The sequence below is a fragment of the Homo sapiens genome, chromosome 2 (genome assembly GCF_000001405.40).
Source record: "Homo sapiens chromosome 2, GRCh38.p14 Primary Assembly".
Classification (NCBI taxonomy): Eukaryota; Metazoa; Chordata; class Mammalia; order Primates; family Hominidae; genus Homo; species Homo sapiens.
This window is the reverse complement of record NC_000002.12, coordinates 174821311-174834930: the sequence shown is the minus strand read 5'-3', so window position 1 is coordinate 174834930 and position 13620 is coordinate 174821311. Positions and strand designations below refer to the sequence as shown.

The 13620-nt window shown below is 37.5% G+C and overlaps 1 protein-coding gene across 6 annotated transcripts in view; it reads left to right on the top strand.

Moving 5' to 3' along the window:
• The window catches only part of CHN1 (chimerin 1), a 206573-nt gene that overhangs the window by 170451 nt on the left and 22502 nt on the right, over positions 1-13620 (top strand). For all 6 annotated transcript variants that reach the window (NR_038133.2, NM_001822.7, NM_001025201.4 and 3 more), the window contains one exon: positions 10413-10497. Coding sequence is in view for 5 of the 6 variants with exons in the window: in NM_001822.7 (NP_001813.1) it covers positions 10413-10497 (85 nt within the window). In the remaining variant the exon portion in view is untranslated. The remainder of the gene's footprint in view (positions 1-10412; positions 10498-13620) is intronic.

Genomic DNA, 13620 nt, shown 5'->3' with positions numbered 1-13620 from the left:
GGTTTCTCTTAAGTTTTATTTTCACATTTCAGCTTCATAATGTGTTTATAGTTTTGTGGTTTTATAGAATCTTAAATGTGCATACTCACACTCAAGAATACAATGCACATTTGTTTAAAAGAATATAAATTATTTTTATACTACTATCTTCTCTGTTAATATCTTCGAGGATTATTTTAGTTAGGACAGATATGTCAACTTTGAGGAAACAAATTATTTTCCTTTTTCACTGGTACTCACACATCTTACAAAGTTTTTTTTAAAAGCAGTTGGGGGGATGCACATTACATAAAAATGAATAAAGAATGGCAGCAAAATTCTCATCAAAAACTATGCAAGACAATGGAGTGACATCTTCAAAGGACTGAAGGAAAAGAAATCTATTAACCTTGAATCCTATATTTAGCAAATATATCTTTCAGAGATGAAGAGAAAATATTTATTTTTTTAAACAAACAAAAGCTGAGTGAATTCATCCCTAGGAGACTGGTACTACAAGAATATTACAGTAACTTTTTAAGAAAGAAAATGATACCAGGTGGAAATTTAGAACTACACAAAGGAATAAAGAACACTAGAAGTAATAGTAAGCATGGGTAACTTTAAAAGATATTTTTCCTGACTTAGTATCTTTAAAAGATAGTTGACTCTTTAAGGCAAAAATGGTAATATATTATGTAGTTTATACAAGCAAAATGTATGACAACAGTAATGTAGAGTAGAGGATGGGGGAAGTGGAAGTATATTCATGTATAGGATTCTTGGGCATTACATAAAGTGGTATACTATTTGGAGGTAGACTGTAAGTTAAAGGTGTATATTGTAGACTGGGCATGGTGGCTCACGCCTGTAATTCCAGCACTCTGGAAGGCTGAGGCAGGAGGACAGTTTGAGCCCTGGGGTTTGAGACTAGCCTGAGGCACGTGGCAAGACTCCATCTCTATTTAGAAAAGAAAAGAGAAAGAGACAAAATTAGCTGGGTGTGGTGGCACATGCCTGTGGTTCCCACTGCGTAAGAGGCTGAGGTGAGAGGATCACTTGAGTCCAGGAGTGTGAGGCTGCAGTGAGCTATGATTGTGCCACTGCACTCCAACCTGGGTGACAGAGTGAGACCCTGTCAAAAAAAAAAAAAAAAGATGTGTATGTTCTAGACCTTAGAATAAAACTAAAATTGACATAGTTAAACTAACAGTGGAGATAAATGGAGTCATAAGAAATATGCAGTTAATTCAGAGTATAAAACATAAAAAAAGGAATAAAGGACAAATGGAATGCATAGAAAACAGGTTGATAGTTACATTAAATGAAAATGACTCAAACACACCATTAAAAGGCAGAGATTGTCAGGTTGGACAAAAAAGCAAGATCCAGTGATATGCTGTGTACAGGAAACCCACATTAAATATAAAGGGCACAGAGAGAAGTGAAAGAAAAAGCAAAATTCTCATCAGAAATTATGCAAGACAGTGGAGCGACATCTTCAAAGAACTGAAGGAAAAGAAACATTAACCTAGAATTCTATATCTAGCAAATAATATGTATATGTAGACAATAATTCAAAGAAAATTGGAGTGACTGTACTTTTTTAAACACAATTTTTGAACAAGGAATATTATTGGGAATGAAGAATGTAAAATTAATCAAGAAGATATAACAGTTTAAAATTTATATGTACCTAATAACAGGTGCAAAATACATAAAGCAGCAACTGAGGTGAGGGTGAAATAGACAGAATATACAGAAAATTAGTAAGAGTATAGAAGACTTGAAGAACAGTATCAACCAATTTGACCTAACTGATATTTATAGAGTACTCCACTCAACAACAGCAGGATACACATACTTTTCAAGTGAACTGGAAGATTCACCAAGATACATAATATTCTGGACCATAAGACAAATATAACCATGTGTCATATAACTGTTTCAGTCAACAACTGACCACAGTTATGACAGTGGTCCCATAAGAGTATAATACCTTATTTTTACCCTGTCTTTTCTATGTTTAGATACATTTAGATACACAAATACCATGGTGTTAATGTTACATATTCAGTACAGTAACATGCTGTACAGGTTTGTAGCCTAGGATCTATAGGCTAGACCATTAGGTCTAGTACATAATAGGTTTTACCATGTAGATTTTGTGTAAGTACACTCTATAATGTTCACCTAATGAAGCATTTCTCAGAGAGTGTCCCTATCATTAAGTGACACATGACTGTATCAATAAATGTAGAAGGGTTAAAGTCATACAAAGCATATCCTCCAACCACAACAGAATTAAATTTGAAATCACTAACAGATATCTGAAAAATTTCCCACATACTTATAAATTAAATAACATACTGCTAAATAACTCATGGGTTGAAGAAGAAATCACAAGATACATTAGAAAATATTTTGAACTGATTGAAAAGAAAAATAAAACATATCAAAATTCATAGAATGTGGCTAAAGTAGTACTTATCAGGAAATTTATATCATTAAATGCTTATATTTAGAAAGGGAGAAAAAAGGTCTTAAGTCAAAGAGCTAAGCTTCCATCTTAAGAAACTAGAAAAAGAAGAATCAATTAAACCAAGTACTTAAGGAAAGGCAGTATTAAAGGTAAGAGCAGCAATCAGTGAAAAAGAAGAAAAACAGAATTTTTTAAATCCCAGAATTTACTGGGATTTTAAAAAGGGTTTTAACTACATACTTTTAATAACTTCCTGTGCATTTTAGTCAGATCTTTTTCTTAGTATAGGAATACTTGCATTCATATTGTAATATATGTTAACAGTACTTCTTCAGATGACACTTTTATAACCAAGTCAAAAAGAAATTGAAACCTGGTTGTGTGGAAATAATATATTAATGCAGACTTAGCTTCAAAGAATTGTGGATCACAAGACATTGTAGACTGGTCTGAGGGTTTTCCGTATGTCAGTGTTCAGTTACCTATCTATAATGTAGGTATAGAGATTTTCTGTCACTCAGCTATGGAATGTAAGTGGTTTTTATTGCACAACCATTTACTTATTTATTTTCCTATTGTACCTACATAATATAACCTTAGGGGACTGGTATTTCAAAGTGTTGATTTTTACTAATATTTGAATACGAACTCATTCATCTCAGTAATGAAGCTTACTTTCTAAGTAGAAGTGTTTTAGGTGATGGCATTTAACATTTTTGAACCTTGAGCATGATTCAGTTTGGAGGCAAAACTATCAGGGGAAAAGAAATCAAAAAGAAATTGTCTTCTGAAACTTAAAAGAAGCCTAAACATTAAAATTATATATTTTATAATACTCTAAATACTCATATTTTGAAATGGAAAATGTCTTTGAATTAATGGTTATATTTATTGTTTCATCATTATTATACAATCTGTACCTTGTAGCATATAATAATCAAAGGATTGCTTTGAGAACTTTGATATTTCCACATCCAGATTCTTGGGTTTCAGATTGATGGTTCTGTGTAAGGGGCCACTATTTCAGCTCAGCACAGAACATCAACACCAGAAATTGTGTTTGTGTTCTAGCATTAATATGGTTGTTTATGATTCTAAGCAAGTTCTGTGCAACCTTTGCATTCATTTTGTAATTTTAGATATACTTCTCCCTCAAAAACATAGCGGTGATTGGGAATGTATGGATCATAAAGGAAACCATAAAAGAATTTAAGCTCTGTTAATAAGGCCAATATTGAATTGTGGTAAATGTATTTTTATGAGAATAATTTATTTTTTCTGCACATATTTAAAATATTGTTTTGTATACCAATTAACATAAACCATTTTTATAATATTCATATGGGAGCAGAACTAAATTACTGTATTGCCCTGGTGACTGTCCTAATAGTCATATTGTTATAGTATGATCATATTTTACCAGCTTTTCCCTGTAGTTATTGCTCACAGTTAAAGTTACATCATTTATTTGTGGTATGGTCAATGTATGTCTAGTAGGCTTTTATGGTATTTCTCTCAATTTTGAACAGTTTTCTTACTCTTAAAATTAGGTCACCAATTTTCTGTCATTTGTCATTCTCTTTGAAGCGGTGCTTCCGTGTTAACTACTTGTGTGGTTAAGTATGTGGCGCAGAAAGACCCTGCAAATTCTCCCGTGTGGCCACCTCTATAGCAGCTGGTTATACAGGCCATTAGCACCTGCGCCCCTTCCCCAGCCGCCTAGTGCCTCCCTCACTCCTGTCTGCTGCTGGCCAGTGGGCATGCCTTTCTATTCCAGGTACTTAGCCTTGGCCAGTGCTTAAAGCTATGTTTCAGCAAGTGCCTGGTGCATTTCTTCTGCCTTTCCTGCCATGGTCATCAATTACACATCCATTTGATCAGGACAAGAAGACTAGGAATGGCCAGCATAGTGTCAGTGCTTAACTGACATTATCGTGGTGCTTAACTGAACCAAAACCTCGCTCTTTGTTAATACATTATTACTCCAGAGTTATAGGGTGGTTAGTAGTTTTGACTAGACGTAACTTAACAACAAGGCAAGAAGGTATTGCCTTGATACTAAAGATACTCCTATAGTAAGTATTCCTCCTAATTTAAGTACTCTTGTATGTATTTCTTGCTAATGATCATAGCCAGTGTTATGTATTCTCTTTTCACGGCATAATAATATAAATCAAAGTACTTTAAACTGAAGTGGTAAAATTAGGGTATGATTTTTTTATTTTTTATTTTTTTTTGAGACAGAGTCTTGCTCTGTAGCCCAGGCTGGAGTGCAGTGGCACGATCTCGGCTCACTGCAAGCTCCGCCTCCTGGGTTCATGCCATTCTCCTGCCTCAGCCTCCCGAGTAGCTGGGACTACAGGTGCCCGCCACCACACCTGGCTATTCTTTTGTATTTTTAGTAGAGATGGGGTTTCACCGTTGTTAGCCAAGATAGTCTCGATCTCTTGACCTCGTGAGCCACCGCGCCCGGCCAAATTAGGGTTTGATTTCTAAATTCCATATCATATGGACCAAAAAGTTTAAGACCATCTTGGTGAGACAAACATTGGTCACCTAAAAGAGTGCATTCTAGTTACCCTAAACATAAAAATGAGGGAAGAAAAAACTTTCCTGACCAGCTGCCTGCCTACCTACATTCCTTTCGTTTTGATTTTGTTCATCTGTTCTCTCCCCTCATCACCCAACACTGTGCTGGAGAACTGACTCATCACAGTCCCAAATGAGAAGCTGCAGCTGAAATGTCATTGCCACCTTCCCAAGCAAAATTTTATTTCCCGTAATGTTCATATCATCTCCAACGTGGCTTACATTTGCAGCAAGCTTTGCAGGCATGCTCCTTGGCTATTTGCATTCATGCTTATTTCTAAAGGGAATGTTTTGACTTGAAAGGAACAATGAAGATTAATGGTGAATTTTTCTTTATCTTCCTATATCATGGATTTCTTTTTCAGTTTCTGTTACTGGCTTTCAAACTGGAGATATGAATGCTGTAAACATGATGAGAAGCAGGGTGTTTGTTTCCTTTTATAAGCCAGGATTTTAGTCTGAATAATGGCAGGCCCAACTGAGAATGACTTCAGTTTTTATCTAAGTCATTGCCCAGGAGACACATGACACTTGGCCTGTGCCATATGGGCCCCTCAATAGCCCACCCTTTCCCACCCTGTCCTTTGCAGCCTGCTTCTGACCAATGCCTTCACTGATAAGACTGTACTGGGGATCCGTTAATTAATCCAGTCTTTCATCTCTGTTTTAACAGAGAAGTTAATGTGAAAGGAGTTGTTCACAGGTTAAAAGCAATCACAAATGTCATGGTAATAAAATGGTCTTTTTTTTCCAGTTGCACAAGAGGGCTTTGAAACTAGTTCGTTTTGCCCTTTATTCATTAAAGTGTAATTCATGCCTTATACTCTGTCACTTTCATTTGTCGAGATGGACCAAAAGCTTTGGAGGTGGCCTAGAAAAAATATCTGTGGCCCACTTACAAGGTTGCTTTTCTTGGGACCATTTTTGACTTCGCTAATAATGTAATAGGGTGAAGCTGATTGTTCTTTTGAATTATGTCTTATCAGGAACCATACCCAGAGGAATGGGTTGCAGATTTCTAGGGGGTGTGGCAATTCTAGGCAAAAGTCACTCTCTGTTGTGATCTAGAGCTTCAGGCCCAAGCCCTTGCACCCCTTGTGAACCCTTCCAGGCCTCCTTTCCCGCATATCCCACCTAGTTCTTCCTTAGCATCCTGCAACACACAAATAGTCTTCAAGATGCAACTTATGGCTTTTTAATTATATTTTGAATGTTCATTGTATTCAGATTTCATCATTTTTAAAACAGGTAATTAAAATACAACAACGTCTAGTAAACAAAATTGTCTGCAGATGTCAGTGCCTGTAGAATTATCTATAGGAAACAGCACCTATTAGTATTGTGCTAGATGGAGCAGCACAACTGAAAAGCTATTCTAAGTTGTACAATTTGTGCAATTGATTTTTTAAAGATACCTTTTTCTGAGTTGGCAAAGTATGTGACGTAAACATCACCGATAATGTAAAACTGCATATAAAGTGAAACATTTAGATAAAGCATAACGACGCACGTAAAAAGAAAATATTCATCACTTTTTGTTTAATGTGCTTGACACTGGCTGGTATAGTACGATTTTATAATGTGTCACCCAAAAAGGAAACTTGCTTTCAAGTCCAGTGGCCCTTCTCTGAATTCCTGGCCAGTTTTAGCTCCAGTTCCTATTCCCCACTTTGCCAAAACTCCTCATTTGCTCCATAACTGAACTTCCTTCCTGATGCTCAGAGACTATAGACTGCCAGGCATGAATTCCTGTAACTTTCTGACCCTAGGTCCCACCACCAGTCCTGCACAGCCAGCCTCTCTCCTCTTACCCTCTTCCCTCCCAACTCAGGGAAGGGGAAAGTGATTTTCCTTGTATTCAGAGCTAATTGCTCTGCCCTGGATTCTGTCTCCAACATTTGACTTCTCCAGAGCCTTGCTCCATCAGTGACCCTCTCTTTCTTATGAGTCAGCCTTCCCCTTCCCTTCCACAGTCCTCCCCACCTCACTTCTAAACCAGTTTCTCTACTTTTGTACCTCTGTTAATGTCATTCTTCCCCAGTCACCAGACCTTAAACCCTTAACAGACCAGTTTCTTTCCCTCTCCGTTGCCTCTGTTTCAATTAGTTACCAAGCGCTGTTGATTCTGCCTCCTAAATAACTCCAGTTTGTCCCTTTTTCTCAGTCACCACTGCCCGAGTTCAGCTCCATATCGTCTGTTGTCTGGGTGACTGCCATAGCACCACCCTACCTAGTCTGTCTTCCTTCAGCCTTGCCCCCTTGACCGTGTCACTCCCCTTAACAATCCTCAGTGGCTCTGCATTGTTCACTGGACAGAATACAAATTTGTAGGCATTGAAAAGGCCCTGTCTGCCTCTCCTATCTCCTGCCAGGCCAGTCGTTTCCACTCCACCCAGACTGAACTTCCTTGCAGTTCTCTAAACACCACATTGTTTCTCTCATGCCTCGTGTCTTTGATTTTCAACTCAGGACTTAGCTCATGGGTTGCGTCTCTTCCCAGCTTCTCTCACACTTTGCAAATATTTTGATTAGAATATTTTCACACTGTGTTTAGTAGGAGAAACCCCTTTTTATTTTTGTATAGATCATCATTTAATAAATGTTTATGAATGAATAAAAATGACTAATTAATGAAAATCAGTATTTGTTTTGATGACCTTTAGAGGAATAAAAGACTCAAAGGCTACAGTAATCAACCTTTTACAAATATAATAAAGTGTCATAGAGTCATAGAGGTTACAGAACAAAGGAAACTTGAGATATATGGATTTTAGATATAAAAATTCAAGTGAGTTTTAGATATAAAAATTCAAAAGGGAATCCAGTTAAACCCTGTTAGACAAATAGTTTTGTAAGCTGCTGGTTCTGCAAGGCCTATTTCTAGAACATTTTCATGGAGAGCTACATAAGCTACCTTCTAAACGATTTAAAAAACAAAAAAAAACAACCCAGCCTCAAATGGCTCAGGATGCCTTCATTAAAAAAGCTGCCCAAGAATGAACTGTAAATAAATAACAATATCCTAAAGATTGCTTTCTGAGATACATGTGTAACCCTTTAATTGGAGAACATGGGGTCTGCTCGGACAGTTAAAATCCTCTCTTCAGCATATCTAATATAAAGAAATATCCCAGGCTTTTTGAAATGCCACATTCACTGCTACTTTCAGGAAGGTGGGGAAAGGATTGGTTCTATTAAAACAGCTCAGTAGCCAGTGCTGTTTCCCAAATGCCTATTTGTTTAACAGCAAACAAAACACCTTCTACTCTTTTTGCTCTCCCTGTTTAACTTTCAGATGCTTTACCATGAGATAACTGATCGGCACAAAATAATTCCTGAGACTTCCTTCATACTTTCATTGCATCTTTAGTCACCTTACCAAGTAAATGATACTGATTATCCTGAGGTTTGGCAACCTATAAGTGAGTTTGCATCCCAAAGACTTTCTCTAAAAGTAGCTTCACAATTCTGTTGCTGTTTCATGATTATATAACTCTCTTTCTGAATCAGCACTGCCTACTTCACTCATTCCCATAAGAATAAAGCACGATTGCATGCTTTATCCAGTTTTATTCACTCTGAAGAACACAGGGACATTACAGAGTATCTGGATGTTGATCTTGGGCTCTACTTCAGCAACTCCAGGAAATACTTTGAGTTTACAGGCTCTGAACATCATTAACAATCCAGAGGCTACCGTGCCTGCATTCCTGACCCTCCTCCATAAAACACATAGAAGGGATTATGGCCTCCTTTTCAAAATCAACATAAAATTTTGTACTCAGACTCAGTTGGCAACAGCAAAGAGTTACAAGCACATACCTGCTTTGAATGAACCCAGGGTTATCCCTTGCAGCTTTATATGGATATTTGGGCCAATGTAGTATTTTGAATTCTGATATTCTGTTTCATTGATTCTTATATGCATATTTTATTTTCCATTTTAATGTCTCTGAATTTGGGATTTGTCAGACAACCAATGGCTTGTCATGATTTAATTGGCATGGTTTTTCTAAATTGAACACATAATGGTATGTCTTACATTTATGGTATTTTCATTTGAAGAAATAAGTTTCATATCTTAAAAATCACTTACTTGGTTTCTAAGACTTAGTCAATACGTTAGTACAGCAATTGTAAAAATGACAATCTTAGCTGTGAATTTTATTATGTATGGTAGTGGTTTTGGCAGATATGTTGGAATCAATTGTAATGTACTGATAATATTGAAATTTTTATTATTTTTTAATGTTCAGAGTTTGGATTCATTGCTTCTGCAAAATATTCTACCAATATTTTTTTGTCTGAGTTAACCTAGAATGCCTTCTCTTTCCTGTTTGTAAAAGGGATAGGTATCTTAACATTTGAATCCTTTCTTCTTTGGGGATTCCTTTCTTTTTAAGGAAAAGAAATCAAATACAGTAGAAAGAACCTTTATGAGCTGGAATGGTTAGTGAATAATTACTGTACTCAAACGAGGTTCCTGATAAACTGTAGTTTCTGCAGTTTCTAAAATACATTTATTCTCCTTGCTAACATAATAAATATCAAATGTTTTAAACAGAAATTGGGCCTTTTTGATGATTCTGATGTGACCCATCAATAAGTATCTCCTTTAATGTCTGTGATCCTACTCATAGTCACAGAAGGTAAATTATCTGCAAAATTCCTAACAGGACCCAAGACATACTCTATATGGGCACTCATGCCTTTTCATGTCATAGTACTGTAGAAATAGCATAGTACATAGAAATGCCAGTATTTGTATAGATTAGGGTGCCTGCACCTGAGGGGACATTGGAAAACTCCATTATATAGTTTTCGAAAGTAAGTTACAGAATATTGGTCTGATTTATCATTCCTAAAACAAAGAAGAAATCAAGCTCTGAAAAAAATGTTAACTGCTTGTCAGTTTCACTCAACCAAGGTTCTTTTAAATGCAGCCATGTTGGCGCTTCATTACTAACCATGGGCTGGGTGCAGTGGCTCACACCTGTAATCCCAGCACTTTGGGAGGCCAAGGCAGGCAGATGCTTGAGCTCAGAAGTTCAAGACTAGCCTGAGCAACATGGTAAAACCCTGTCTCTACAAAAAATACAAAAATTATCTGGGTGTGGTCGTGTGTGCCTGTAGTCCCAGCTACTCAGGAGGCTGAGGTGGGAGGATCACTTGAGGGAGGCCTCAGTGAGCTGTGATACACCACTGCACTCCAGCCTGGGCAACAGTGAGACCCCATTTCTCTTTCTCTCATATATATATATATATAGAATATGTGGCTTGTATATTAGTGCTTTGATATGAAGCAGTCTTCTCATCCGTGTGTTTCCCCTTTCCTGACTTTGCCCCTCTTTTTTTTTTTCAGGTGCATACATTCAGAGGGCCACACTGGTGTGAATACTGTGCCAACTTTATGTGGGGTCTCATTGCTCAGGGAGTGAAATGTGCAGGTAAGAGCTCTTGTCTTGTCTCTGGATTGAGTCAGTTGTGAAGTTATAAGAGGTGAGGTAGAAGGAGACTTGTTGTTATGCATATCCAGTAGGCTGGATCCTGGTTTGGTCTTATGCACATGCAGTAGGCCAGATTCTCAGGCAGCCACTTTGGAAATTTGATATTTTATCTGCTCTTAACCTTCTGGCACTTGATGGACAGCACACTAGGGATCTGGCATTAGTCCACTGAAAAGAGAGAAGTCAGCTTGTTCAAAAAGTCTGATAAAAGGAGATAAAAGTAAGGCAGTTATATTTAATACTTGCCTTTGATGTTGCAGTAACTAAATTTATAAAAATGATTTTTTTAAAGCAATGTACAGGGACCTATGATTGTTGCCTTGGAAACTGAATTTTAAAGATAACTTGTTAAGCTGGATTGTCCTTACTAAATTTTTGTGAAATCAAATTGAAGCTTTAAAAATCTGTGAATTCATCTTCAAAGATGGTTACCAAATTCTGAAAAACCACTTAGTCACTAATATTTTCTGTGTGATGTTTTGAAATCAAATACATCAAATACTTTTTGTAAAATATGACCATGAATATTTAGATACAAATTTAGAAACCAAAAGATTTACACATACAGAAATAGCCAACACAAGGATGTATTTGAGATACTTTGTGAAATAAAGTACTTATGTATATCACGTGAAATCCATTTGTATAGAGCAACTATACTGAATACTGGCCATTTATCCAAACTACTTTAAATTCTTTTTTTTTTTTTCTGAGACAGAGTCTCACTCTGTCTCCCAGGCTGGAGTGCAGTAGCGCGATCTCGGCTCACTGCAAGCTCCGCCTCCCAGGTTCAGGCCATTCTCCTGCCTCAGCCTCCCGAGTAGCTGGGACTACAGGTGCCCGCCACCACACCCAGCTAATTTTTTGTATTTTTAGTAGAGACGGGGTTTCACCATGTTAGCCAGGATGGTCTCGATCTCCTGACCTCGTGATCCACCCGCCTCAGCCTCCCAAAGTGCTGGGATTACAGGCGTGAGCCACCGCACCCAGCCCAAACTACTCTAAATTCTGACATAGGCTTAAAAATAATCATGTAAATTTTAAATGTCTATTATTTGGTCATAAAAGTTTCCTTCTGCCATTTAATTTGTAAAACTAAAAAATATCTTCTTACATGTCTTTTAGCATGAAGCTTTACACTAAAAAATATACTAAGTAAAGTATTTCAAAATGGTAACTATAGTAACTGTCAGATTTATCGCTATAAACATCATTTCTTTTGTGGCATGATTTTTAAATGGAATATTTTTGTTGTCCATTATGTGCAGAAATTTCTGGGGTCTGATTCTTATTTCTAAATTGCATTTCCTTTGAATAGCAAGATATAGTATGTATTGCATGGAAATGTTCCAAGTCGCTCTTCTTTCAGTTATTATTCCCTTAGTATCACTAAAATGTAATAAGGTTCCAGGCATATATCACCATTCAAGGACCTTCCTGCCACAGGAAGTGGGATAAGAATCCTACACGTGTGGACTTGGAGCTGTGCAAAGGTGTTCGTCAGGGAGCGCCTCAGCTCAGAGTCGAAGCTCAGAGTGAATGAGGAAAGCCTTGCTGTGGCTGGTGGTTATCCAGAGTTGGGATGAAGAAGGCCATGGTTGTGCCTTTGCACTGGAGGGAAACAGTAGAATGGAAAGTGTTGATAAAGTGGAGGTATTGAGGCAGTGTGCATTGCAGTTTCACAAAGGCAGATGGAATACTCTTTCCAAAGCACAAATTGCCTGCTCGAGAACAATGGTCTCAATGAGCCCAGTTTGCCTTTATGAGACAGTCTTGTCCAGCTGATACTCTGCAATAGTTTTTTAAATGTTTTATGACTGTCACAAACTTAAAAGCTTTTCTTTCATGAGTAAGGGTGTATATTGTTTCCATTTTGAAAAAGTGAAGCCCATCTACATAAGAATTCTTAACTATTAATAGAGAATAGGTACAGCACCTATGAATAATCTTTGGGAATACGCTACAACCCCAATCATGTTGGAAAGAAATGTTTTGGAACATTTATCATGTCAATAATATGGGGGAAAGGAGAAAGAATTCATCCCCATCTCCACAGCCACCCACATTAATAGCCTCTACCTCTTATTGTGAGTAAAGGTCAGGAATTGAAAGAAAAGCCTTGAGGAGATTTTTCATTTTATGTTATATCTTGTCCTTAAAAGCATTATATTCAGTGTGATTTGAACCATATTAATGTGTAATACAAGCACAAGTCAACTCATTTTGAAAACACGGAGGGTTGGAATTTGAATTCATTCTGTTTTCTATGACAACTAATTATATTTGGATTGACAGTGAGATTCTTAGGTCTGAAGTGGCTTTGAGGCTCATCTGGCCTTTGACTATCTAAATCCAAACGCAAAGAATTGAGAATTTAAAGAGAGAGTGCACACTAGCTGTGATAAGCTGAAAAATAGCTCCCCAGAGATGTCCGCTTCTAATTCCCAGAACAACATTCCTTGTTCCTTTCATGGCACGAAGAATGTTGCAGATGTCATTTAAATTAAGGATATTGAGATGGGGAGTTTTGGGTTGCTATGACAAAATACCACAGACTGGGTAATTTGTAAATAACAGAAATTTATTTCTCACAGTTCTGGAGGCCAGGAAGTCCAAGATCAAGCTGGCAGCAGGTTCAGTGTCTGGTAAGGGTCCAACTCTGCTTCCAAGATGGCGCCTGGAAAGCTATGTCCTCCAGAGGGGAGGTGCCTACAATGCAGTGTCCTCATGATTTGGCAGAAGAGTATAAAAGGGGCCAACTCCCTCTGTCAAGCCCCTTTATAAGAGCGCCTAATCCCATTCACAGGGGAGGCGCCCTCATAAGCTAATCATCTCTGAAAGGTCCCTTCTCTTAATACTCTCACATTAGCAACACCTGAATTTTTGAGGGGACACTTTCAAACCACAGCAGGGAAAGTACCCTAGATTGTCAAGGGAGGCCTAGTATAATCACAATCATAATGGCCCTTATAAAAGGGAGGCGAGAGGTTGATAGAGAAAGATGATATAAGGACAGAAGCAGAGGTCAGAGGGAAGAGAAGATGCTATGCTGCTGGCTTTGAA